The sequence below is a fragment of the Homo sapiens genome, chromosome 3 (assembly GCF_000001405.40).
Source record: "Homo sapiens chromosome 3, GRCh38.p14 Primary Assembly".
NCBI lineage: Eukaryota > Metazoa > Chordata > Mammalia > Primates > Hominidae > Homo > Homo sapiens.
Genome location: NC_000003.12, coordinates 4,302,103 through 4,325,880, shown reverse-complemented (window position 1 = coordinate 4,325,880; position 23,778 = coordinate 4,302,103). Strand labels below are relative to the sequence as shown.

General features: G+C 39.6%; 2 protein-coding genes across 17 annotated transcripts in view, besides 3 other annotated features; one reads left to right on the top strand and one right to left on the bottom strand.

Moving 5' to 3' along the window:
- SUMF1 (sulfatase modifying factor 1) overlaps positions 1 to 23,778 on the top strand; it is a 432,784-nt gene that overhangs the window by 141,389 nt on the left and 267,617 nt on the right. For 2 of the 7 annotated variants that reach the window (XM_047448024.1, XM_011533625.4), the window contains one exon: positions 21,279 to 23,752. The exons of 4 other annotated variants lie outside the window; for them this stretch is intronic. In XM_047448024.1, coding sequence (XP_047303980.1) covers positions 21,279 to 21,401 — 123 coding nt within the window. In that variant the 3' untranslated portion in view covers positions 21,402 to 23,752. Of the gene's footprint in view, positions 1 to 21,278; positions 23,753 to 23,778 lie in introns of those variants that run through there. One more of the 7 variants, XR_007095664.1, reaches the window with a different exon arrangement.
- SETMAR (SET and mariner transposase domain methyltransferase) lies at positions 8,616 to 22,512 on the bottom strand. 10 transcript variants are annotated; one of them, NM_001243723.2, is made up of 4 exons: positions 22,355 to 22,512; positions 12,652 to 12,983; positions 12,120 to 12,234; positions 8,616 to 9,669 (listed from the first exon to the last, which is right to left on the bottom strand). In NM_001243723.2, the coding sequence occupies exons 1-4, from the start codon at positions 22,508 to 22,510 to the stop codon at positions 8,635 to 8,637; spliced, it is 1,638 nt and encodes a 545-aa protein (NP_001230652.1). In that variant the 5' UTR covers positions 22,511 to 22,512; the 3' UTR covers positions 8,616 to 8,634. The 10 variants fall into 10 exon arrangements, with proteins under 10 accessions (NP_001230652.1, NP_001307606.1, NP_006506.3 ...); NM_001320677.2 differs by having other exon boundaries at positions 12,120 to 12,214; NM_006515.4 differs by having other exon boundaries at positions 12,120 to 12,983.
- Positions 22,075 to 22,144: an enhancer, noted in NCBI's record as "active region_19346". NCBI's record gives its function as "activates an Ori minimal core promoter by ATAC-STARR-seq in GM12878 lymphoblastoid cells {active_cell/tissue: GM12878}" and the evidence as "EXISTENCE:reporter gene assay evidence [ECO:0000049][PMID:35858748]".
- Positions 22,173 to 22,915: an enhancer, noted in NCBI's record as "H3K27ac hESC enhancer chr3:4344650-4345392 (GRCh37/hg19 assembly coordinates)". NCBI's record gives its function as "activates a minimal SCP1, AML or CMV promoter by ChIP-STARR-seq in primed H9 embryonic stem cells {active_cell/tissue: H9 hESC(primed)}" and the evidence as "EXISTENCE:reporter gene assay evidence [ECO:0000049][PMID:30033119]".
- Positions 22,235 to 22,574: a silencer, noted in NCBI's record as "silent region_14014". NCBI's record gives its function as "represses an Ori minimal core promoter by ATAC-STARR-seq in GM12878 lymphoblastoid cells {active_cell/tissue: GM12878}" and the evidence as "EXISTENCE:reporter gene assay evidence [ECO:0000049][PMID:35858748]".

Below are 23,778 nucleotides of genomic sequence, written 5' to 3'. Positions count from 1 at the left end.
TAGTATACCTGTTAGATTCTAGCTTTATTCATTTTTTTTTCAGTTTTTATTATTTGTCTACAATTTATTTGGACTGGATTCTGAATTCTTTCTTGACTACATGTTTCCAAACTAACATTAATCAATTTTTTTATCCCATTTTTCTGAGTTGGAATCACTAGAAACTAAAACTGTGCTTTCCTTAAAGCCCTCCAGACTGCACTTAGACACCTTAAAATTCAGTAGAAATAACAGCAACCTATGCATATATGTGTGTGTGTGTGTGTGTGTGTACACATATATACACACAGATATATACATACATATATATATATATACACACACAGACACACACATATATACACACACACACACATACATATATGCCACCTTCGTGCCTGCCACTGATGTATGGACTTCTCAGTAGTACAGGCTGAATTGGTTTTCCAGAATTGCTTTCCCTTTGCTGCTACAATTTGTCCTTGGTCCCTTTTCTCTTTCTGTTTTTGGTCTTTTTTTTCTTTCTTCCTTTCTCCCCCTATCTTTCTCTGTGGGGTATGAGACTTCATGACATCTTAGAAATGAGCCTTCCTAGCCATGTGGATACTAGCCTTCTAGGAATAAATCATTCTAGTGATGATTTATTTTCTTCTACAGTACTTTCTTTGAAATATTTTGAAGAACAGGGGTGATATGGTTTGGCTGTGTCCCTACCCAAATCTCATTTTGAATTTTAGCACCCACAATTCCCATTTGTCATGGGAGGGACCTGGTGGGAGGTAATTGAATTATGGGGCTGGGTCTTTTCCATGCTGATCTTGTGATAGTCAATAAGTTTCATGAGATCTGATGGTTTTGTAAGGGAGAGTTTTCCTGCACAAACTCTTTCTTGTCTGCTGCTGTGTAAGGTGTGCCTTTCACCTTTCAACATGATTGTGAAGCCTTCCCAGCCAAGTGAAATTGTGAGTCCATTAAACCTCTTTTTCTTTATAAATTACCCAGTTTTGGGTATGTCTTTATCAGCAGCATGAAAATGGGATAATACAGGGGGGAAATGTAAAAGAAAAATAGAATTGCAGGGCCCCCAAACTCACTATGCCAAAGGCAAAGTTGAGCTTGGGAAATTAACTTGGTAATCGATCAATACTGTATTTCTTTTGAGCCCAAACAGATAACTGTAATTTCACAACCCCATGTCAGCCTTATTTCCTCTACTCCCTCTTTTCACATGTTTACTTCATCTGATGTAAAAATGTAGATTTACTGAGCATGAGACAATGCATAATCGACTTTTTCCTCTCCTCCCACTTTTCACATGTAAAATGTAGATTTAGTGAAGCTAATCAGAGCCTCACAAGAATCTAACCATCTACCTCACTGCTCATGCTCACTCCCACCTCTTTTTGTCCCCTCTCCTGCTTACGTTTTCCCCTTTAAATATTCAAGTTCACGAAATCCTCTTTAGAAAACTCATAGGTCACAGATGCTCTTGTGATTTATGGTTTTCCTTGGCACATCCTCAACCTTGGCAAAATAAACCTCTCATTGATTGAGACCTGCCTCAGTCACTTTTTGGTCTATATTATAAAAAAGATTTTCACATAGTTGGTATTCTATTAACAATGATACCAAATGAGGCCATCTTTCTTCAGTCAGTGTAGGTCTTTGACATTTTTTTTTTAATTAATTTCAATTTGAGAAAGCGTCACTCTGCTGAGACAGAGTTGAAAACAAACCATGAAATGTATGTATCATGTTCAAACATTCTAATGGGGCCACATTTGGTAAATTATTATTGCAGAAAACAAAAAATCTTAATTTCATCACATAAGCTATCACTTATGCTGTCTTTTTCATCATCTGCTAAATCTATACAGTAATATAAAGAACCAGTATCAAATTTCTAGACTTACACGTACACAGATTTAAAAGTAATAGGAATTGGAATTCTAAGTAATAGGAATTGAAAACTGTACATTGTTATTCATGAATCTGTTACATTTATGCTGAGAGGAAGAGCTGTCAGGTTAATTAATCTATCTCTTATCTATCTGACTGAGCACTTCTGTCCACATTCTCCCTGCACCCCAAAGCTGTGTCACTCTCTGATGGTGGTAATGGCCCAACCCAGAGCATTAGGCACAGTTATGTTTTGTTTTTGAGGACAGAAAGTAAGTGGAGTAGCATTTTCCTGGGGCCTAAAGCATTCTTCCCAGAAACAAATGTTCAGAGTCACAAGTTACCAGTTTCTAAACCAGAGGTACCAGGTGGTTGTTGTCCTCCTCCTCATTCTTCTGCTGCTCCTCCTTCTCTTTCTCCTCTTCCTTCCTTTTCTTCTTTTTCTTATAATATCTTTAAGGAGATACAATTCACATACCATAAAATCCACCTAATTAAAATGCTTTTTAGTGTAGTCACAAGTTGTGCAACCATCACAACTAATTCTAGAATGTTGCATTACCCCCAAAAGAAACCATGTACTTGTTGGTGTTAGCAGTCAATCCCTATACTCCTTCCTGCTCCCGGCCCTGGCAACCACTAATCTACTTTGTATCTGTATGGAGTTGCCTATTCCAGATAGTTCATGTAAACAGAATACCACAAATGTGACCTGTTGTGTCCGGTTTCTGTCACTTAACATAATGTTTTCAAGGGTCATCCATATCAAGGGCATTTTTTGGTATTTCATTCCTTTTTATGGAATGGCCAAATAATATTATGACCAAACAATATTCCATTGCATGGATACTACATGTTGTTTATTCATCCATCAGCTAATGGATATTTGGGTTGTGCCTACTTTTTTTTGCTATTATGAATAACGTTATATGAATATTTGTGCATACTTTTATGGCTAAATAATATTTCACTGTATGGATACTATATTTTGTTTATTCATTCATCGGCTAATGAATATTTGGGTTGTGTCCACTTTTTTGTTGTTATGAATAATGCTATATGAACATTTGTGCATACTTTTTTTTAAGACAGCATCTTGCTGTGTCATCCAGGCTGGATGTGCATACACTTTTTGTAGACATGTTTTCAATTCTATTGGATCCATGCCAGGGGAGTTACTGGGACATGTGGTAATTGTATGTGAGCTTTGAGAAACTGCCAAACTGCTTTAGAGTAGTTGCACAATTTTGCAACCAACCAACCAATATATGAGGCTTCCACTTTCTCCACATCCTTGTCAATGCTTATAATTGTCTGTCTTTTTTCTTTCTTTTTTTTTTTTTATAGGCAGGTCTCCCTCTTTCACCCAGGCTGAAGTGCAGTGGTAGGATCATAGCTCACTGCAGCCTTGAGCTCCTAGGGTCAAGGGATCCTCCTGCTTCAGACCCCTAAGTAGCTTGGACTGAAGGCATGCAGGCATGCACCACCATTTCTGGCATTGGCACATTTTCATTTACCGTAGACTTTCATGGAATAGTTTTAGATTTTCATAAAAATTGAGAAGATAATACAGAAAGGTCCTATATATCCCATAGCCAGTTTCCCCTATTACTAACATTAGTTATGGTACATTTATATTACATTATTATACATATCAATATATATTATTATGTATTGATACATACCTATGATATTATACATATCATTACATTATGATACATTTGTTACAATTAAGAACCAATATTGATACATCATTAACTAAAGACCATAGTTGATTCAGATTTTTAGTTTTACCTGTCTGTTTTGGTTCTAGTATCTCATCCAGGACACCACATTACAGTTACATATCATGTCTTCTTTGACTCCTCTTGGTTGTGACAATTTCTTAGACTTTTCTTGTTTTCCAAGACCTTGAGGAATAATGTTCAAGTATTTTGTAGATGACCCTGTATTTAAATTTATCTGATTCTTTTCCTCATGATTAGTCTTGGGTTATGGGTTTGGGGAGCAAGACCACAGAGTTAATGTACCATCTTTATCACATCCTGTCAATGGCATATACTACCAACATGATTTATGACTGTTCATATTGACCTTGATCACCTAGCTGAGGTCATTTGTCAAGTTTCCCCAGAGTAAAGTTACTCTGCTCCCCTCCCTTTCCTCCACCCTCAACTTTCCATTCTACACTCTTTGGGAGGAAGTCACTATGTATAGCTTACACTAAAGGAGTAGGAATTTATGGTCCCCCTTTTCGTGGGCAGAAATAGCTACATAAGTTATTTAGAATTCTTATGCAAAGTTAGATTTGTCTTTACCCCATTTATTTATTGATTCAATCATTTATTTATATCAGTATGGACTCAGATTTTTATATTTTGTTTTATAATCCAGTACTACTTTATTTATTATCTTGCTCAAATTATTCCAGATTTGGTCACTGGGAGCTTTTACAATTTGTTTCTATACTCCTTTGACACCCCCATCAATGTAGGTTTCTTTCTTTTTCTTTTTTTTTTTTTTTTTTTTTTTAGCATTTCCTTACTTTCTGGCACTACAAGATGCTCCAGTCTCAGCTTGTTGATTTCCTTCTTTAGTAGCAGAATTAGCCATTTCTCCAAAGAACCCTGTTTTTTTGTTGTTGGAGAATGGTATAAAAATCAAGATCTGGGTGCTAAATGTGCTCCTTGCTACTGGAGCATCATTGCTTCTAGGCTGTCTGAGCTGACAAAGAAAGGAAATATATGTGTGCATACTAACTGTAATATACTAACTGTAATCTAGAAATATTTCTATATGTAACCTTCTGTATCTATACTAAGCTAAATGTGAGTTCATGCTGATGTCTCCAATTGATCCATTACCACATGGATCATCCTTCCTTTGCTTAAATGTAAATTCCCAATCCAACAGTGAGAAACCTGGCTCCCACGATCTGCCATCAATTTGTTTAATTCCAGTATACATGTAAGGCAATAGCAGAGTTGTTAATATCAGAATTATATCCTGTTAAGGCTCAGAAAATGATACCCCAACGTATGGTCCTTTAACATGCTGAGCACTTAGAATTAAAGGAAATTGAAAGGCCTTAGAAGCTGCCCCCATGGAGGCCTGTCTGGCTTTCTCTTGTTTCTCACCCTACTCCCATAAGTGCAGGGAGGGGCTCTCCTGAAGTTCCCTTCTCTGACTGAGGGAAGTTCTTCCAAAAGGAATACATTTGTGTTGAGACTCCTCCCTAGGAATTTCATCAAACAACCAGGAAAGATTTATCACCAGAGGAGATTAAAAGTTGTCACCACACCAAAACAGGCTATTGCCTATTCTTCAGCAGCAATAAAAAACTCCTAAACAACTTTTATGACCTGAGAGACTTTATTTACATAAGACAATCTTTGTTCACCATGCAGTTCCTCTCCTTTTCCTCTCATAACTGTCATCACCTCCCCTTCAAGCCCCTATTCATTTTATGCTATGAAACCTTCAACCATCTGCCTCCTCCTTTGAGTCTCATATTTTTCTGAGGCTTCCATTTGCATGTATGTAATTAAAATGGTCTTTCTCTTCTTAATCTGTTTATTGTCAGTTCATTTCAGCAGACTTAATTATCAAACCTCCAGAGGGAATGTTTAAGCTTCCCTATAACCCCCATGGGAAACAACTTGTATCAACTAGGAACTGCTTACTTGCAGTTCCTTTTGCCTTTAGTCTTACAAACTTCAGTAATTTCCAAAGTTACTTAGATCAGCACCTTTCACCCCTACTCTTTTGAGTTTGTTTCCTACATTTGTACTAATAGTTATGTTCTCTTGTCACAGTCTGCATTCCTGTGATTCCCTGACTTCTTAAATGATTAAAATTGTTTACATAAAATTTTGACCCTTTGTGCAGTAAAGTTCTATATGTTTTCACAAATACACAATGTCATGTATACACCATCACAGTATCATACAGAATTGTTTCATTGCCCTAAAAAACTCCTGTGCTTCACCTATTCATTCCTCCCTCTCCTCAAACTCTGGCAACCACTGACATTTTTATTCTCTATTGTTTTGTCTTTTCCAGAGTGTCATATAGTTGGACTCATATAGTATGCAGCCTGTTCAGAATGACTTCTCTCACTTAACAGTATGCATTTAAGGTTCATACAGGACTTTCTGTGGCTCGATAGCTCATTTCTTTATTGTTGAATAGTATTCCATCATATGGATGTACCAGTTTGTTTATCCATTCACTTATTGAAGAAATGTGTGTTGCTTCAAGTTTTAACCAATTATAACCTTGTTATGAACACGTGTGTGCTGTTTTTATGTGGACAAGTTTTCAAATCAGTAAATACCTAGAAGTGAAACTGTTCCAACTGTCCCATAGAAATGACATTTAAAAGTTTTGGAACACACATGGAAATTGACCCTTCAGGTCTTAAAACTTGAAATTTACATTTGTCTCATCTGAGTTCCTCCCTCAGGGAACTGATCCTCAGGCAAGGGACTTAAACTCACCAGATCACCACATCGAAATAAGATGCCAGACCCCCTCATTCATCATAATTGCTTCTTTACCCCCCTTAATTCCTTCCCTCACTATGTAAGCCTCCCCAGTTGTAGTTGGTCAGGGATTTGAGACTTTATCTCCCATTCTCCTTGGCTGCAGCACCCAGTGAAATACTTCTTTCATGGCAACATTCATTGTCTCAGTGATTGACATTCTGTGTGGTGAGCAGCAGGACTGAACCCCCTGTCATTTTGGTAACAGGAGCATGATTGCTGGATCAATGCTAAGGCTATGCCTAGCTCTTTTAAGAGCCCACCAAACTGTCTTCTAAAGAGGCTGTACCATGTCACATTTCAATGAACAATGAAGAGTTCCTGTTGCTCCACATCCTTGCCATCTTTTGGCATTTTTAGTGTTTTCGCTTTCTACCATCCTAGTGGGTGCTAAGGGATAACTTATAGTTTTAAATTGCAATTCCCTGATGACAAATGATGTTGAGCACATTTTCACATTCATGTTTATTTTTGATGTCTATTCAGACCTTTTGCCCATGTTTAAATTGGGTCATTTGTCTTATTATTTTTACGGCTTTTTTTGTGTTTTTTTGAGAGGCAGTCTCACTCTGTCACCTGGACTGGAGTGCAGTGGTGTAATCTCAGCTCGCTGTAACCTCCACCCCAGGTTCAAATGATTCTCCTGCCTCAGCCTCAGGAGTAGCTGGGATTACAGGTGTGTGCCACTATGCCCAGCTTATTTTTGTAGTTTTAGTATGGACAGGGTTTTGCCATATTGGCCAGGCTGGTCTTGAACTCCTGACCTCAGGTGATCTGTCTGCTTTGGCCTCCCAAAGTGCTGGGATTACAGGCATGAGCCACTGAACCCGGCCCTGAGTTTTAAGTTCTTACCTGCCTAATTGTCCTGGCTAGAACCTCCAGTACAATGCTGAATAGAAGTGGTGAGCTTGGAGATCATTTTCTTGTTCCATATCTTAGGATAAGAGCTTTCAGTCTTTCATCATTATGTATGATGTTAGCTGTGGGTCTTCATAGATATCCTTTCTCAGGTTGAAGAAGTTCCTGTTTACTTCTAGTCTGTTCACTGCTTTTATCATGAAAGGCTACTGGAGGTTGTCAAATGCTTTGTGTCTATGGAAATGATTATGTATTTATCTTTTGTGAATTATCCCATTAATATACTGGATTTACTGATTTTCGTATGTTAAACCAATCTTGCTTTCCTGGGATAAATCCCAATGGATCACAGTGTATAATTCTTTTGATATCTTGCTGGATTTCATTTGCTAGTACTTTTTTTTTTTGCCTCTGTATTCAAAAGGGATATTGGTATTAGTTTTCTTTCCTAGTAATGTCTTTGGTTATGGTATCCATGTCTTCTTTAACTCATGTGTCTGGTTATGGTATCCATGTCTTCTTTAACTCGTGTGTGTGTGTATGTATGTAACCTTAGGCACTCTAAAATGCAGGGCTCAGGGCAGGAACCTCTCTTGCTCAGCTCTAACCCTTCTGGTCACCTCTTAGTGACTTTTTCCCCCTTTAAGTCTGCCATTTGAAGGACATTATATCCTAATTACACCTGAATAGAAGGGAGAACTTTGGGTCACATCCTACAGACAGTTCTCAAGACTAATAATTTACATTTATTGAATACTTTCTATATACTCAGGCATTGCTCTAACCCCTTTGCATGTGTTAACTCAATCTTCCCAACTAAGGAAACTTTGACTTGGAAAGGTTCAGTGATTTGTTCAATGGTAACACACTGGAGAGTGACTACATTTTAATTAGGGCAAAATTTTCCATTTGGCCAAGAACAAAATCTAACAGCCACTGCTATTTTGTGAATAGTAATTTGAAAATTAAAGGAAAATTTTTTTAAAGAAAAGCTTTGTTCTTCAAGTGTGATCGTTATTATTCTTGGGCCAAAATGCTTTTCAAGGTACATGTTTTAATCTTTTTTTAAAAAATTATTTTATTAGAGTCAGGGTCTCACTATGTTGCCCAGGCTGGTCCTGAACAATTGGACTCAAGTGATCTGCCCGCCTGGGCCTCCCAAAGTGCTGGGATTACAGTTGTAAGCCACCATGCCAGGCCACATTTCTACATTCTTAATAAAGTCCGTGGAATCTACTTCAAATGCAATTTTAATTTATATTTCAATCTATGAAGATATTGGGTTGGTGCAAAACTAACTGCGGTTTTGGACTGTGAATTTTAAATCATTATAACTAGGCTCAACGCATTTTTATTAATCAAAATAGGAACCATTACAATCAACACATTTTTGCCAACGAGAAATAAGTTGGTTTATTCCTGTAGCGTAAAAATCCGTGCTTTGGGATTCGACGAACTCTTGGAAAGCATTTTCTGCATCCTGCTGGTTGTGGAAGCGTTTTCCCTGCAAAAAGTTGTTGAGATGCTTAAAGACGTGGTAGTTGGTTGGCAAGAGGTCAGGTGAATACGGTGGATGAGGCAAAACTTCATAGCCCAATTCATTCAACTTTTGAAGTGTGGGTTGTGCAACATGCGGTCGGGCATTGTCGTGGAGAAGAATTGGGCCCTTTCTGTTGACCAATGCCAGCTGCAGGCGTTGCAGTTTTTGGTTCATCTCATCGATTTCCTGAGCATACTTCTCAGATGTAATGGTTTCACCGGGATTCAGAAAGCTGTAGTGGATCAGACCAGCAGCAGACCACCAAATAGTGACCATGACCTTTTTTGGGTGCAAGATTGGCTTTGGGAAGTGCTTTGGAGCTTCTTCTTGATCCAACCACTGAGCTGATCGTCGCCGGTTGTCATATAAAATCCACTTTTCATCACACGTCACAATCCGATCGAGAAATGGTTCGTTGTGGTTGCGTAGAATAAGAGAAGATGACACTTCAAAACGACGATTTTTTTGATTTTCAGTCAGCTCATGAGGCACCCACTTATCGAGCTTTTTCACCTTTCCAATTTGCTTCAAATGTCGAACGACCGTAGAATGGTTGACATTGAGTTCTTCAGCAACTTCTCGTGTAGTTGTAAGGGGATCAGCTTCGATGATTGCTCTCAACTGGTCGTTGTCAACTTCTGATGGCCGGCCACTACGCTCCTCATCTTCAAGGCTCTCATCTCCTTTGCAAAACTTCTTGAACCACCACTGCACTGTACGTTCGTTAGCAGTTCCTGGGCCAAATGCATTGTTGATGTTGCGAGTTGTTTCTGCTGCTTTACGACCCATTTTGAACTCGAATAAGAAAATTGCTCGAATTTGCTTTTTGTCTAACATCATTTTCATAGTCTAAAATAAACATAAACAGCAAGTAAGATGTCATTAGCAAAAAAACATAAAGAAATGCTCATTAAAATGGTGTATAACATGACCACATTTAAGAATGTATTCCAATATCAAATACCAAATTCCAACAATGCAAAAACTGTTACTTTTTTTTTTTTTTTTTTTTTTGAGACAGAGTCTCGCTCTGTCACCCAAGCTGGAGTGCAGTGGTACAGTCTTGGCTCACTGCAACCTCTGCCTCCTGGGCTCAAGTGATTCTCGTACCTCAGCCTCCTGAGTAGCTGGGACTACAGACATGTGCCACCACATCTAACTAATTTTTGTATTTTTAGTAGAGATGGGGTTTCACCATGTTGGCCAGGGTGGTCTCAAACTCCCAAGCTCAAGTGTTCTGCCTGCCTCAGCCTCCCAAAGTGCTGGGATTACAGGTGTGAGCCACTGCACCCAGCCCCATCTTTTAAAATTTGAATCTTATAATTTATAAAAATGTTATTTTATCATGGGATAATAGTCAAGTGGAAGTATATTTTTAAATGTTTTCTCTCAAAAGAAGTGTCAACATTCTCAAAAATATGGCAATGAAGCAAACAAATGCAGTTAACTTGCTGCTTAGAAAAGACTTGGAATAAAGACTCTTTGACTCTTACCTTAGGAATCTGGTTTCTAGGATTAAGTGCTATATAATAAACTAGTGCCTGAGGACAAAAAATTTCCAGGGGTCCATATTCAGTCAGTTGTCTCTGGCAGAGGCACTGAGTTGGAGGGGGCTGTTTGTGTCCTTGTCTCTGAATGGAAGATTGTCCTCTGGGAATATCTCTGCTGTTCAATATAGAAAGGCAAAAGGACATAGAAAAGGGTATCTGCAGAATCAAATGGTGAGCCAATCATTTTCCTTCTAACCACTTCCATATTGCGTCTGAAGCAGCTCAGTTATTAGGTGAGCTTGTGAGCAAGAAAAAGCACATTTTGGAGTGAGGGATACAAGCTGCCTTATTAAAAGCAGGACTGCTTCAGAGGCATTGAAGTAATAGAGGACAGTTGGCATGGAGAAATGATTAATTTGGAGGAAAATTTTTGATACTATGTATTTGTAATTTGGGGCATTTTATGTGTACTCTAGTACCATTTGTTCACAGGGAACCATTCCATGTAATGTTATATGAACATTATAAACCCTAAGATACTTAAAAACGACCTAGCTTTATTGAGATATAATTCACACGCTGTATATTTCACTCATTTAAAGTGTACAATGTACTTATATTACAGAGGAATAGTGTTATATATAACATGGATTCCTATAATGTTGAAAGTGCAGGGCCTCCTAGTGGTAGGGTTTAAATGTACTAGAGAAGAAATTAAATTACTTAATAATATCATAGGGGCTCTAGTAATTATTTTAGCTTTCAAAATGTCTGATAAACCTCCACAGTAACTGTATTTTTGCAACATCCCTGCTTTAAGGAAGGTAGTTAGAGATGTTTGCTGCTCTAGAAGTTTAAACGGGATCATAAAACTCCCGTCTCCTTCTGTGGTGTGGACAGGGTTATTTTTCTGTTATTTATACATGAAGTGAGGCTGTTTGAAGTTTTGAAGCATAACTTCACAAGATTTGGAGTACAGCCAAGTATATAATGAAAATGAAAAATTTACAATGTGTCTCTTTTTCTGACTTTTGGTTACAACATGTAAGTCATTTTCATAGTTATATTTTTCACTACTGGTAGTACTTATTAGGGTTTTAGCAGGTGATAGTTAATAATGCCTTTTTCCTTGATCCATGCTTAGAAACAATTAAGTAGGACGCAGGAGTCAGACAGAAATCAAAAAGTCAGCTTTATTACTGTTAAAATTGGTTGGCAAGCAGGGTTTAGGTATGCAGCCACAAGGGTTTCTTGGATCATTATTAGGTTCGATGTTAGTGCTAGAAAACTTACAATAACAGTGACTTAAGCAAGGGAGAGACTATTTCTCACCTGAAAGTACAAAGGTGTCAGATCACGACTGACAGGATGTTCTACAGTACCAGACACCTAGACTCCTTTTAACCTTGTTGATTTTTCTATGCAATGGCTTCCTTTCCCAGGGTCATCCTGGGGTCTAGGATGACTGCTCCAGTTCCAGTCATCATGTATACATTCCAGCCAGCAGGAAGAAAGAGGAGGTGAAGGGCAGGATATCTCCATTTAAGGACTTGTCATTTTTGCTTATATCCTATTAACTAGAACAGTCACTAAGACAAATCTAACTAGGAAAGTGAGTATTCTGGGTAGTCATGTACTTTTGTTAAATGGAGAATTCTATTACAGAAAGGGGAAAGGATACTGATGGACAACTTGCAGTCTCTGCCACATTCCTGAGTTAAACTTATGTAACTAGGCAGAGGTAAAGCTAGCCAACCACTGTCTTCCACTATAGGGAGGGGCAAGCTGCTTATCACTGAACAGACTCACCTCAAGGGTCAATCGCTTGCAGGAGGGGAACACAGAAGGGGCTGAGCCACACATGCTGGGTTCCTTCTCATTTCCACAACTGATGTTCGACTTTTCTACGGGGCAGTACAGAGAACTGTCAAAAGGCAGGAAAGCAGTACATGATTTGGCACCACAGTAACAAGGTTTCCTTAGTTTCCCATGATCTAGCCTTTCTTTGTCTTCACTGACTGTTAGATTAAGATATCTTCCTGAATAATCATAAGAGAGTTCTTCTTCTGGCACAATATCTTTGGCTGCAAAAAGTGCCAACTTAGGTACCATTGAGTCAATTCGGACAGGAATCATCAAAAGGTTTGGCTCACAAGAATGATTAAGGAATCTTCCAATATTTCCTATATAAGTAGGGTCAACAAATGTTTCCATTACCTGCCCATTATAAACATGTTCCCTGATGGCTATAATGTAATTGGAGTCGGATTTTGTTTGTAAGTGAATTCTTCTCTGAACTTCAGAGAATCCTAAAACCTCACCAGCATATTCACAGACAAACCTTCCTTTCGGTATAAATTCCAAGGTACGAAGTCCCCAGCCTTTTTTATGCGTCTTGAACACTTGGAAGTGGAACTGTAGACCTTTCTGGACCACTCTGTTTCTGCAGTGGTCACTGCATCGGCACAGGACATTGCATTCAAAAACAGGCTCTGCATACTTTCCTCCAGATCCTATATCTCTAAGGCATGAGTTATCATCATAGTTCTCTCCATGGCGGAGACAGGAGCAAGTGCCAGGGAGGCAGGGAGTTTTGACACAAATGCATCCGGGAAAGGTTATTTGAGTGGGATCAATGTCTGCTCCAGGTCCAACTACATGATCAGGAGTGTACTGTAAAAAATATACACACTGTAAGTCAGCACGGCATGTCATATATTTCCTATATATTCCAAGTAGCTTCTGACTGGGACCCATTCTAATTCTAACATATATAAAAACAGGACAAAACTGTCAAAACACAGCATACTAAGATATTGTCCAAAAACATCTCTCTTCAATAAAACAAGTTTTTTTTTTTTTTTTTTAAGAGACAGGGTCTTGCTCTGTTGCACAGGCTGGAGTGCAGTGCTGTGATCACAGTTCACTGTAACCTGGGCTCAAGCGATTCTCCTGCCTCAGCTTCCTTAGCTGCTACAGCTACAAGTGGGAACCACCATGTCCAGCTAAGATTAATTTTTAGAATTTGTGGTTTTATTTTAGGTATGTATAAGGATGAGTTGGGCATTATAATACTTAATGTATATAATAGTATGTTATATATAGGTACACATAAGGACATATATATGTATTATTATGTATGTATAAGGACAATAAGAAAAATACTATTTTTTTCTCTTATCAGAAATAGAAAGCTTTGTAACTTCTTTTGTTTCCCTCTTATCTTTGGATGTCAGAAAACTCAGTGCTGAATTTAGTGTCTGAGTACAGTTAAGCATTTTATCCTTAGCTTTTGATCTCTTTTACCTTTACCTGATAATATACATGCATATATGTATTTTAATTGTGGGTTACCTCAGATACTGGTTGGGGATAAGAAAGTCATAGATGACAAGTCAATTGCACACAGAATTCCAAAAATGCTATTTCTTAAATAGATATTACTAGATATTTAAATTTATTAAAGATATACACTTGTAAAGAAATTCTAATTAAATAAGAAAGGAATATGAAAAAAATCTGTCATTTAAATGTACCTGTATTTTCAAAACATTACATTTGTAAAATGTTATATAAAAAGAAGACAATCCTCAATCTAAACTCTATGTGAAGCCTGATCTCTGGTTAGATCCTCATTAGCATCGTGAAGCATATTTTCAAACTGATTTCAGATTAAAGTATCTCTCATGAACCCAGCAGATTTTTTTATGTATATAGTAATTCTTGCTTACATAGAACTCAAACCATTTTATACCTGCTTTATTCCTAAAAGGATTTAATGAGACTTATAAACAGGTAAGATAAATGAACAAGTAAGGAGAGTAAGGTGAAAGGGAAATAGAACAAACAGGTCTAGTGAGCTTAGACACACAGTATGTGGTAGAAGTAGACTGGATATTTGGCTCTGCCTGAGAGCTGCCAATTCAGAGAAGGATATATGATTAGATACATAGCTTGCCCTGCCTGTAAGGAATAATCTCATTGTTCAGAAGTGGCATTGACTTTTTTCAGTACTGATACCAGGAAGGAATTCCACCAATGTGTTCTTCTAAACCATTCTTTTCCAGGAAGCAGTTTCATGGGCTGTTTTTTATTCTGGTCCCCAGTAAAGGCTGCTGGGATCCCACAACAGCACAGTCGGGTAAGAGCAGTTCTGCAAGGAACCAGTTGCACGGCCTTTCATTGGGGATAGATTTTAAAGCACCTGAAGGAATGTTTGCACCACGTCTTCCAGTCAATCCTCCATTATTATTTTGTCTCCAGGCCAGGCTTTAGAAAGGTATTGAACAGCAGATAGTTATACTCCCTGTGGAGGCCTCGGGTGGAGCTATGTAGTTAAGTGCAAAACCCTACACTAAAAAAAACTCTGAGCTGGGGAGGATTGACATCCTCTTGTGAAAGATGAGGAGGACAACCAGTGGGAGGACCTGTGGGAGAAGGCTAACATTCTGCTTAAAAAGTCATTTGGGGGTGGAGAGAGGAAATAGCTTTTGTTTGTGTTGTTTCTTACAGCTTTAGCTTAGCAGGAATATCCTAAATGGATAAAGGATAGGTTAGAAAATGATGCTCTATCAGTCAAACTCAACGACTGCTGTTTTATAGAGAATCTACTTTCAGCTTTTTAAAGGTTCAGTGTTCAAATGTAAATGGTTACTGAGACATTTTAAAAAGTACTTGTAAAATGAAGATCTCTTTGTTAAACTTTTCATGTTAAACTTTTAAGTTGATTTGTCATTAAAGGTGCACATATTTTTAAGGTACTATATAAATCACTAAACGCTAAAGTTTTTTTTTTGACATGGATAACTTCTTTTAAAATCAACTGCAGTTTTCTAATCAGGAAAGCAGGTGAAAAACAGTTTTATTTCGTTATTTTTACTTACAAATTTAAAAAGATTTTGAAGAATCTCATGATATATTTTTTAAAATTCTGCAATTAAACTTGCTGCACAAGCTATAATCCTTCAGGGACTTATAGACAGTAGCTAATTCCGAATGAACTGCAGATATCTTCCAAAAGAAAACAGAGACTTCTGGGAAAATTTCCTGTTTAAATAAATTTTTTCCCCGTGATGGATATAATCACTGATCCTGATACCAATAATTGCTTTGAGTCATTTTGTCTTCATGTTTCCATTTCTCCTCCATAAAAGGTCAATAAAATATCATTTCAGATGATAATGACTTAAAAAATGACTACACTCAAGAATAATCTTTTGAAAACTTTTAGTCTAATTTAACATCTGATTATGTAATTACCCATCTTTTCAGGTATTTACATATTGAAAAGCTATTTATTATTTTCAGAAATAATGTGAGGTCATTGTCCTAACATTCTATTCAAATATTTACATGCCACGCGGTTAAACTTCGAGTAGTCATGTGCTGCATAATGACTTTTTGGTCAGACCACATATATGCATATACAATGGTAGTCCTGTAAGATTAGAATACAGTATTTTTGCTGTATGTTTTCTATGTTTAGATACACAAACACCACTGCGTTACAAGTATCTACAGTATTCAGTGTAGCAACATTCTGTGCAGGTTTGTAGCCTAGGAGTGATAGGGCATTATCATATTGCCTAAGTGTGTAGTAGGCTATACCATCTAGGTTTCTGTAAGTACTGTGCACTCTATGACTTTTGCATAATGACGAAATTGTCTAATGATGCATTTCTCAGACTGTTTCCCCATAGTTAAATAATAACTGTATCTGAAGTATAATTGTATCTGAAAGCTAATGTAAAGTGGGTTACAAACTGGGAGTCAGCTGATATGACCTAAGCCAGACTTCTGCTGAAACAATTAGGGAAGAAGCATTCTCTTTCTACTAGAATTATTCAACTGTAGTGTTTGCCTGGCATTTCCAAGTTCTGCCACGTAGATGAGGCCTACTGAGTGTGTAGCCTACCACAGAAATGGGAAGCAGGGGTGTGAAGGGGGAAGGTGGTGGGAAGAAGTATCTGACAATACTTTTAGAATTACTGGGTCCAGACATGCCTATAGTTACCACTTGGACTTTTCTGATTTGAGGCAATTCCTTCCCTTTTTTGTTGGAGCCAGTTTGTGTTATGTTTCTTGCAAACAAATGAGTCCTGACTGATACACCCTGGGTAGAAGCTGAGAATGGTTTCAGGAAATGGCTAGAAAATGTACTCTGTTAACCAAAAATAAAATTCTAAATCCCCTGATCATCTGAAGGGACCCCTCCTCTCAGCAAGGGCATTCCAAAGCTAACCTGAAAAACTAGTTCAGGTCATGATGGGAAGGGGGCAGGGGTCAGACATGCCTCATTATACCCTCTTCCCTTTTGGAATTACTGATAGAACAGACTCTTTAAGTCTGATAAAAAACATTTACAATCTATTCTCTCTGAAGCCTGCTACCTGGAGGCTTCACCTGCATGATAATAAACCCCTGGTCTCCACAACCCTTTATCTTACCCAAGGCATTCCTAAGTTTTTAGACAATAACAATTCCTTCAAGCAAACTGTTAATCAGAAACTGGAAGCCTCTGCTTCCAACTGTCCTGTCTTTCTGGACTGAACCAATGTACGTTTTACATGTATTTGACTGTTGTCTCATGTCTCCCTAAAATGTATAAAACTAAGCCATATCCCAACCACTTCGGATACATGTTCTCAGGATCTCCTGATGGCTGTGTCATGGTCCATGCTCACTCATATTTGGCTCAGAATAAATCTCTTCAAATATTTTGCAGAGTTTGACTCTTTTCATAGACAAGTCAAAGGCGTAAATGGTCAATGAACAAAGATGTCTTCAATTAGGAGGTTAGACTAGAGCAAAGTGTGCAGACCAGGCAGGAAAACTCTGTGACTATGGTCTTGAACTGTGAGGAAGCAGTGGAGAGCTTCCTAGTGCAGAACATGGAATGCTCTAAAGGAGACACAAACCACAGCCAGGCTCTTATTAGCATTGTGATTCTGGACAAGTGACTGGCTAGGCTTCAGATTAGTAGCTATAAGACAAGGATAATACCCACATTTGGGGTGGCTATCATGAAATTTTAATGAAATAATGCTGTACTCCATGTCAGGCACTTTATAAAAATATTGGCTTCTTTCAATTCTTCTAGATATTACTTTTAGATGTTATATTTAAAACAACATATGTTTCTGGCAAATTACTTTACATTACTAAACATCTTATTTATTTCATAGGTTTCTGTGAAAGAAAACATGACAGAACTGGCTTAAAAAGCTTACTCTAGGGATTAGCATGTACGTGTTCAATAAAAATTTTGCAGGTAGTGCATAGTAGGGTAGTGAAGAAAATAAGTTCTGGAGTTAAACTTTCCAGGTTCAAACATATTCAAACCAAAATTGTGTCTAGGAAGCCATCGGACTGTATACCTTTCCTCCATTACTTCTCCATTTGAGTGGAGAAAAGCTAAGAGCTGATCCAGACTAGACTTCTTTCAGTTATCAAGTATTACCTTACTGTCTGCAATATGCACATACTGGGATTTAGAAACAGTCAGAAAAGTATAAAGGACACGGAGAATGGGATTTTTTTTTTTTAAGACGTTGCTGCCCAGTCTGGAGTGCAATGGCATGATCATAGCTCACTGCAGGCTCCAACTGCTGGGCTCAAGGTCAGCCTCCCAAGTAGGTGGGACTACAGGCATGCACCACCATGTCTGGTTAATTTAAAATAAAATGTTTTTGTAGAGATGGGGTCTCACTTTGTTGCCCTTTGTTAAGGGTGGTCTTAAACTCCTGACTTCAAGTGATTCTCCCGCCTTGGCCTCCAAAAGGGTTGGGATTATGGGAGTGAGCCACCATGCCTGGCTGGGATTTTTTAAATTTCCTGCATTGTTACAATGTAAGTTTTACTTTTTCTTCGTATGTATCAAAGCACAGAATTACTCATGCAAGAGCTAGGAATAAATGCAAAACAATCACGGCAAAATGATATACTGGAAATCAGATCCTTGAAGCACTGGGTGAAGATTTCAAGTTTTTTGACAGAAAACTTAAGAGAAAATACACTCTTGTCTTGGCTATTCCTGTCTGCAACAATTTCTTTCTTCTCTGAACTAGACTTACATTTACTGTTAATAGCATGAACTTCAGGGTCTAAATGACACAGATTGTAGGGCTCTCTAATTGTGTTAAATGTGTAGGTCTTACCTTTCTAACAGATACGTGTCTCAGGGAAAAGCATGGTTATGAGGTTTCGAGTGTGGCATGGTGATGGGGGTGGGGTTCCTATCCATAGGACAAGGCACACAGCAGGTGCTCAAGAAGCATTTTTCGATTGCCAGATTGCAGCTCTTGATACTTGTTAACGAGAAGTTTGACTTTTCTGAATCACATTCCGTACTGAAGACCCAGAAACTGAAGTATGATACTGTAACATTCTAGGCTTAAAACCTGGGCCTCTGAATTATAAAGAAGTGTTGTGAAAATCTTCATTCCTTTTTTGGTTGTGTTGAAACCCCAGCTACAAGAATCTTTGTACTTGGCCTCTAGCCTCATAAGTTTGTTTTTCCTCCAAGCAGCTATTAGAAGACTGTGAGCCAGATAATTCTTGTCAAGGCCTGTTGAGATCTAAAAATAATGTTTGAAGCTGGTTTCAGAGACCTGAAAAATGGTTAGATCCAACTGTTAGCTCAATAAAATCAATTAGTTTATTTTCTACTTGGCTTTCAACACTGATGACATTATGATATGCTTGTTTCCAATATGAACATTTGAATTTCTTTTTGCCTTTTCACACAGTAGCCAAAGGCAAAACAGACACAAAGTTATTTTTATCTTGAAAGTTTTTCATGCCTTAATTCTTATGTGTGCATATGCCTGTGAAGGCAGGGTTTGGAGCAAGCAAGCTGTTTTGACCTTTTATAAGACTGGTTTTGTGTTCCATGAATACATGGAAGAAAACGAGTTGAATGCACTTTTAGGCTTGTCACTTAAATGTTTCAAGCATGTTTGATCTTCTTGGTAAGAAAGACAATAAGCTCTCTTAGGAAGGCATCCTGTCTTATTTTTGTAACTCTAACTTTATTGGGAGCTGTGCATATACAGAGATAGTTAGAACACTGTGGGACTGGGTTTTAATCTCCCAATTTTCATTTATGCCCACCAACTGTAGATGTAACAATCAATCACAAAGCTTCCTCTTGTCACTCCTTTCTCCCCTTTTAAAAATAGACGTATTTATTTTAATATACACTTTGAGAAATAGAAAACCTCATGATTTTATGGACATTAATGATTACAATGATTCTAAGGGAGATACTTATATAATTTATTTTTAAATAATTTAACGCTTAAAGTGAGTTAATTAAAAAAATACGTCGGGCACATAGTTTTACAGATTGTTCTTGGATATGGCAAAGAAAAATATGACTCAAGATTGGAAACAGATTTATAGAATAGTCTCAAACGCACACACACACGCACGGCAGGAATATTGAAGCTAATCGTGACAGTTGTAAACACCTTGAGGGTAGAGTGCGTTTTTCTGTTTGTTGTATTCTTTGCAGCCCAACCCACCACCTTGCATATATTTAGCTCTCAATAAATATTTGTTGAATTAAGAATGGACTAGAACAGTGGTTTTTTAAATCAGTGTTTTTGACCAGGAACTCAGCAATGCTTAGTCCTAAGTTTTCAGGGACCACTGTTTAATATTGGGCCAGCTAACTGTATTATTAACTATAAATTGCCAAAGGTAGTCTGGGGAACAATAATAATTTCTGACATTAATATCTTATTCTACTCTTTGAGGACTAAACTCTGATTTTTTCTTATCTTGCCCAAATTCCTACCCAAGGCACCTGGGGAGTCATGCCTTACAAACCATAAAGTCTCATCAGAGGAGTTTTAATTTTAACCCTATATAGCATGGTCTGCTTTCTACCTGACTCTGGCATAACATCAAATAACAAATAAGGGAAGAAATCAAAATATTTTAACCCCAAATATATTTCCTTGCCATATCTTGAAATTGCCCTGGAGGGTTGTCTCTTGTGGGAAAAATCCACATTCTATAGAGAATCCCCTTTCCCCCTCTTTTTCTTTCTTTCCACAACAAGGAGATAATCAACTAAGACCGAGGCACCTTTTTAAGTTAGATAAGAAACATTTTACAACCTGCTCCCTCTGAAGTCAGCTGGGAGTCTCCTCCCCACAATTAAAACTTGGGTCTCTACATGGCCGGGTGCGGTGGCTCACGTCTGTAATCCCAGCACTTTGGGAGGCCCAGGTGGGTGGATCACTTGAGGTCAGGAGTTTGAGACCAGCCTGGGCAACATGGTAAAACCCTGTCTCTACTAAAAATACAAAAATCAGCTGGGCGTGGTTGTAGGCGCCTGTAATTCCAGCTACTCGGGAAGCTGAGGTGGAAGAATCGCTTGAACCTGGGAGGCGGAGGTTGCAGTGAGCTGATCGCACCACCACACTCTAGCCTGGGTGATGGAGTCAAGCTCCGTCTCAAAAAAAAACCCTTTATCTTAACCTAAACATTTCTATTGATCCCAGGTCTTCAGACAAACTCAACCAATTGTTAACCAGAAAAATTGTTAACCAGAAAAATTAAAATCTACCTATAGTCTGGAAGCCCCCCCCACCACTTTGAGTTGCCCCGCCTTCTGAACCAAACCCATGTACATGTTAAATGTATTTGATTGACGTCTCCTCTCTCCCAAACATGTATAAAACCAGGCTGTGCCCTAACCACCTGGGACACATGTTCTCAGCATCTCCTGAGGGCTGTGTCACAGGCCATGGTCACTCATATTTGGCTCAGAATAAATCTCTTCAAATATTTTAGAGTTTGATTCTTTTCCTTGACATCTTTGAAAGCTGCTATTGAATCTCTTATCTTATCTGATCCTCACAAAAACCCCTAGGAAAAAGAAAGGGCAGATAGGGTTCATTGTTGATAATGGATGTTAAAGGGGCTATGCATTTTTAAATTATTATTTTCATTTTGCAGATGAAGAAACTCAGGCTCTGGGAAGTAGCTAAGATGTCTAAGCTCCGAACCATACTCTCCAACTTCCACGTCCAGCGCTCTTTCCACTTCAAAATCTTTGGTCATTCCTTATTCCTTGGGTAACGCTCAGGCCAAGGTCGGAGGGATAAGAAAGTCAGTAGAGGCTGGGAGCGTGGCTCATGCCTGTAATCCCAGCATTTTGGGAGGCCGAGGCGGGCGGATCACCTGAGGTTGGGAGTTCGAGACCAGCCTGACCAACATGGAGAAACCCTGTCTCTACTAAAAATACAAAAATTAGCCGGGCGTGGTGGCCCATGCCTGTAATCCCAGCTACTCGGGAGGCTGAGGCAGGAGAATCGCTTGAACCCGGGAGGTGGAGGTTGCGGTGGGCCGAGATCGCGCCAGTGCACTCCAGCCTGGGCGACAGAGCGAGACTCAGTCTCAAAAAGAAAAAGGAGAGTAGAAAGGGCTTTGAGGTAGTTAATAGAAGCAAACATTTACTGAGTTCTTACAGCAAACCGGAAAGTGTATTTTCCTTGCCATTTTCAAAGCACTCCGGAAGAGAGGTACTGTTCCACTGTACGCTGGAAGACTCTAAGGCTGAGCCACAGCTAATTTACACTCGCCCAAGAGCCCACAGCGTGAGGGAGACCACAGCTAAGGCTGACTCGAGGGGCTGTTTTTATGCACGACACCGGCTGCGATCCATTAATAGGCCCCACGGCTTATCCTACCTGTGAGAGACACCTGAGACCAGGGAGGTAAATGACTCCCCCCGTGATGCCTCCTTGAGTTCTGAGGACAGGACTGGACAAAAAGCCAGGTTCTCACAAGGCCTCCGGTTCTGCGCTTCAGGGAATGGACTGAAAAGGACAACACCCTTGCTAAGGTGATGCCGTGGGTCAACAGAAAAAGGCCCAGGCCGGGGCATGCACACCTATTCCCGCGCACCAACGGGTGCGCTGTAAGAGAAGACAAAAGGTCGCGACTGGGAGGCCGTCCCAGCGAGGCGGCTTGAGGAGACCACGTGGGGGAGCCGCGCGCCCGCCTCCCGCGCCGCCTGGCCCCGCCCCTACCTGGAAGGGCGCCGGCGCGGCCCCCGGGGGCCACGCGCCCACCGGCAAGTTTTCCTGGCCGCACGCGACATCCAGCTGCTCAGTCGGGGCCTCAGGCTTCTCCTTAAACTCCGCCATCCCACAAGGCCGTGTCGTCTTTGCCGCTTCCGCGAACATTTACCCGCCTCACGCAACGCCCACTACCCTGACAGTCCTGGGCCGCGCGGTGGATGCTGGGACTTGTGGTCCCGTGGCCCCACCGCCTCATGGGAATTGTAGTTCGTTTCTTCTCAGGAGTGGCCTGGAAGGCGCTTCCCTTCCTTGACTTTTTGGGTCTGGCTCCCGTTTTGATTTCAGCCAGAGGCACCACAGATAATTACAAAACCATGTAAGGTACGGACGAAACAAAGTGAGGTGCTTTAGTTTTTCCTGGGAGCATCAGAGAGGGGGCTTTCGAGGTGAGGTCATTTGTCCAGGTTTTTGAGGGCTCACTGCACGTTTGTGGAGTGGAGGCAGGGGTGCGTTCTAAACCGAGCGGGGAAACGCACACCAAGGTTTCTAAAGGTCTGCGGCTTGCCGGGAAGTTGACTGACATGTGATAGGGTTTGTGCCAAGGCGATAGCCTCACAGGGTGCCTTAAGGAATTTGTGTGGGGGCATGCTCACTCCCTGATGGAGGTATCCGTGCCCCTTTGCCTGTCCTTTTCCCTCCTCTCCATCCCTCTACCCTCACCCCTCCAAACCCCTGCCCTGCCAAAGGATTCTGATAGCCTCAAGACTGCTGAATCCGGTGGAGCATTTTCAACCTCACTGAAGCTCTCTGACATGATTGTCCTGCTTCTCCTTGAAACTGTAAACCAAAAATAAAATTCCAATCCTCCAAACCATCTGAAGGGACCCCTCCTCTCTGCCAAGGTTAACCTGAGAAAGTGGTTCAGGCCATGATGGGAAGGGGGGTCCAACATGCCTCATTATGCCCTTCTTCCTTTTGGAATTCAGGAAAAGCCAGCCAGCATCAACATCAACACACACCTTAAGTCTGATAAGAAACATTTACAATCTGTTCTCTGAAATTTACCTCTTGGAGGCTTCATCTCCACGATCAAATTTGGTATCCACAACCTCTTATTGCAACCCAGACATTCGTTTCTATTGATTTTAGGTCTTTAGATAATAACCAGTTGCCAATCAGAAAATCTTTAAATCTACCTATGACCTGGAAGCCACCCCTCACCCGCTTCTCGTTGTCTGCCTTTCCAGATCCAACCAATCTTACATGTATTGATTGATGTATTATGTCTCCCTAAAATGTGTGAGAGTAAGCTGTATCCCAACCACCTTGGGCACATGTCATCAGGACTGCCTGAGGCTATGTTGGGGGCGCATTCTTAAGCTTGGGAAAATAAACTTTCTAAATTGAGACCTGTCTCAGATAATTTTGGGTTC